This window comes from Homo sapiens, chromosome 8 (assembly GCF_000001405.40).
Source record: "Homo sapiens chromosome 8, GRCh38.p14 Primary Assembly".
Taxonomy (NCBI): Eukaryota; Metazoa; Chordata; class Mammalia; order Primates; family Hominidae; genus Homo; species Homo sapiens.
In genome coordinates, this window is record NC_000008.11 from 104,371,983 (window position 1) to 104,375,972 (window position 3,990).

At 42.1% G+C, this 3,990-nt stretch overlaps 2 annotated features.

Annotated features, from left to right (window-relative positions):
- Positions 972-1,031: an enhancer, noted in NCBI's record as "active region_27795". NCBI's record gives its function as "activates an Ori minimal core promoter by ATAC-STARR-seq in GM12878 lymphoblastoid cells {active_cell/tissue: GM12878}" and the evidence as "EXISTENCE:reporter gene assay evidence [ECO:0000049][PMID:35858748]".
- Positions 1,052-1,141: an enhancer, noted in NCBI's record as "active region_27796". NCBI's record gives its function as "activates an Ori minimal core promoter by ATAC-STARR-seq in GM12878 lymphoblastoid cells {active_cell/tissue: GM12878}" and the evidence as "EXISTENCE:reporter gene assay evidence [ECO:0000049][PMID:35858748]".

A 3,990-nucleotide genomic window follows, 5' to 3' on the forward strand; every position in this document is an offset into this window, starting at 1 on the left:
TAAATGGCCTTCCTATCACTAAATTTCTATCATGCTCTTATTTCTCATCTGAATAAAATTTAAGTCTGAACTATGTTTGGATATAATGAAGACTTCATCCAGCAAAAAACTCTCTCTCTCTGTCTATTATAATACTAGTTTTGAGAAATGAACACTTTCAGTTCAAGTTTGGTTTTTGTGAAAACAAAGTTCCAAAACATTTACAACTTTAGAAGAGTTTGTTGCAGCAGTGTTTTATTCCAATGATTGTTGACATCTCATTCACCAGTAATTAACTCAAATAATATATCTGGGGAGACAGAAAGTCTTATTGTTTAATAGGCTCATGAGAAAACTGGAAAAGAAAACAGCAAGGTCTATTTCTCAAGCGGTTTCGTAAATTACCTGAGGAACAAGATTGCGCTTCAGTGCACCTCAATGGTTAAAGTAAGAAATCACTCTTTTTTTTTCGAGACAGAGTCTCGCTTTGCTGCCCAGGCTGGAGTGCAGTGGTGTGATCGTGGCTCACTGCAACTTCTGCCCCACAATCAGGTTCAAGTGATCCTCCCACCTCAGCCTCCTAAGTAGCTGGGATTACAGGCTCTCAGCACAACATCCAGCTAATTTTTGTATTTTTAGTAGAGATGGGGTTTTGCCATGTTGGCCAGGCTGGTCTCAAACTCCTGGCCTCAAGTGATTCACCTGCCTCAGCCTCTCAAAGTGCTGGAATTACAGGCGTGAGCCACTGTGCCCAGCCAGAAATCACTCTTTTTAAGTCAGTGTATTAGTCTGTTCTCATGCTGCTAATAAAGACATACCTGAGACTGGGTTATTTATAAAGGAAAGAGGTTTAATTGATTCACAGTTCTGCAGGGCTGGGGAGGCCTCAAAAGACTTAACAATCGTGGTGGAGGGAGAAACAATCACGTACTTTTTCACATGGTGACAGCAAGGAGAAGTGCTGAGCAAAAGGGGAGAAAGCCCCTTATAAGACCATCAGATTTCGTGAGAACTCACTCACTGTCATAAGAACAGCATGAGGGTAACTTCCCCCATGATTCAGTTACCTCCCACCACACGTGGGGATTATGGGAACTACAATCCAAGATGAGATTTGGTGGGGACACAGCAAAACCATGTCAATCAGGAAACCCACAAAAGTAAACAGGAGGACAATAGTCTATCGCTATTGACTGAAGGGTTTGTCTTTCAGTTTTAGTTTTGTAATTGTACTATTGAGCAGCAGTAGCCATCAGCTGTGACTCAGAGGAGACTAGAAGTTTCTAAGATGACATCAGATGGTTTCGTCCTGCTTTGATGTAGAGCAGTAAGGCAGTCAAGCTCAAAGAAATAATAGTAGCTATCATTGATTGAGGGCTTACTTTGTGCTCAGGGCAATGTTAATCGCTTATGTCTTAGTTAATTCTCTCCCAAACTCAGGGAGTAGGTATTATTATTCCCCCATTTCACAGATGAGACCCGTGAGGCTAAGCAAATGTAAGTAATTTGTCTAAGTTACATAAGTGGCAAGTGTCAGAGGGAAGTTTTGAACCCAGTCAGTTTGATTCTAGATTTTGTGCTTCGTATCCTTCCCTACACCACCAGCCACACCTCCTCCCATGGAGGTGAAGACAGGGAAGCTCAGAGCGGAGCTATAACTTGCACGAGCCCCACAGGCAAATGGTGCAGAGCCGGGACTAATGCCGGGTTCCTGGAGTCAAGCCCACACTGCATCATGGGAAGTGCCCCTGGCAGAGGCGCTGATGGTTATGGGATAGCCCAGGAACAGCGTGTCCTCATTGACTCTGCTTCAAGTTCAGTTTTTGGATGACTGGAGGGCTGGCGTGACCAGGCCCCCACTGGTCTGTGGCACTTTCTCAGCAGCAGAGCGACCCCCACCTGGAGAAGCAGCCCACTCAGAGGCCCTTGGCACCATGGGTCTCTCCCACCCACTGCTCGCCAGCCTCCATTTCCCACCTGTGCTCTTGTCTTTGGGTTCAAGAGGGAAAAACATCAAATTTGGATTCAATTCTCTTGAATAAGATGTTTAAAAGAAAACAAAACAACCAACCTTCAGGCTGCTCCAAGAGAGACATCCGTACCTGAATGCTAGATTTATCATAAGGAATCAAGTCTGATTCCATGATAACTGCCACTGATTTCAGAAAATCATTTCTTATGCTTTGGCTTTTTATGTATTAGTAATTGGAGAAAGTTTTTAGCAAGACTGTAGAGATGAGATGATACACTTTCACTGATACTGGCTTGGAAACTGTGTTTACTGAAATGGCTTAATATACCTTGGAAACTCCTTTCCGTGTCATCCTGTGTAGCCTGAAAACTTACAGTTAATGGATCTTTCTGTGCCTCAGTTTCACCATATATAAAGTGAGGATAATCTCAGTGCTTGCCTCATGTTGTTGTTGGAAGGATCACGTGAACTAATGTTTGCAGAGTGTTTGGGGCTCATTAGGTGAGCCCTTAATAATTGTGAGCTCCTGGTATTTTCTCCTGAGCTCTAATGATGTTCAGATTCTTTTTTCTCCCGAGCTCTAATGATGTACATCATTCAGGAGTGAGTTATTTCCAAAATCTTGATTAAGAGATACATTAGAGGGGTGATGTGAAGTCAAATGGACCAAAATTCATGTCCTGGGCCACCCACTGACCTGCTGAGTGCCTCTGGGCAATTACTTAACCTCTCTCAGCCTTCATTTTCTCATCTGTTAAATAATAACAATAATATAAAATAATAAAAATAATTTGTTAATAATAGTAGTAAAATAATAAATAATAATTTATTAATAATATTAATAAAATAATATATAATAAAATAATATTGCCCTCATAGGGCTGCAGAGACAATTAAATGATGGCATCTATACAGACCTTAGCACAAGTCTGGGCACCTAATAAGGGCCTAATAAATATTTTCATTAAGACTCTATTGAGCACATTTATAGGTTTTGTTAAAGAAAAAGCCAAGGTCCTATGTTCTTGTGAAGACTGCATCCTATTATAAGGCAAAAACAACAACAACAAAAAAAGAACCACTGCTTGAAAAAGCCCTGAATGCTTTCTCACTACTGCAGCTGGTTATGCAAGCTCACCTAAGCCCACAGAGTCTCAGAAGGCCACTCCCCAGTGCCATTTATATTTTTACAATCACCATTCACACTAGGATGGCTCTTAAGACAAATGGAGTCCTGAGCCCTGGACACAAATAATGATTTGTCATAGTGTTACTTTTTATTCATGAATTATTCCTCTCCTCCTCCTCTGTCATCTTCTGTTCCCAAGGTTAATTCATTCCCTCATCAAGGATTTACTGAGCACTTCTTTGTGCCACTCCCTGTGCAAGGCATTTGAGGAGCAGTGGCAGCCAAACTAAGGGGTTTGCTTCTGTGTTTTATAAACAGTCGGTGTTTAATAAATGATGGACGCTCTGTGTTTCTTTTTTTTTTAAATTTTAACTCGTGCACAGATATTCTCCAAAACGAAGTAAAGGGAGAAAGTTCATTTGTCAAAAATTAACCTAATTAAATATTTCCCTTCAGGGGGCTCTGTATTGGATAGATGGGAACGAAAAGAGTGGCAGTCGTGATGGGGCAAGAGAAAGAGACAAGGTTGAATCTGTCTACCACTGAGGGAGAGCTGGGGCTTTGCATGTGCCATCCCAATGTGTCCTTTCAACCATCCCGTGAAAGAGAGGTATGATTAATTACTCCTACTTTTTCAATAGAGAAACTGAGGCTCAGGAAGTTTACCTATCTTGCTCAACTGGTTCAAATCCAGCTCTTGTGACTTGAAAGCCTCTAACAAGCTCTTGATCATTCCCCTACAGGATGCTGCATCATGTAGAGAGAGAACGGAGAGAAAAGGGCCTGCCGTAGTTGGCCTGCATGCTGACATTGGGACCTGCTGCACCTGCGCGGGTCACTTGAGAGTGAGGCTCTACCCACTCCCGTATTTCAGTCTGTACTCCTTCTCAGACAGCTCACAATGCTAGTG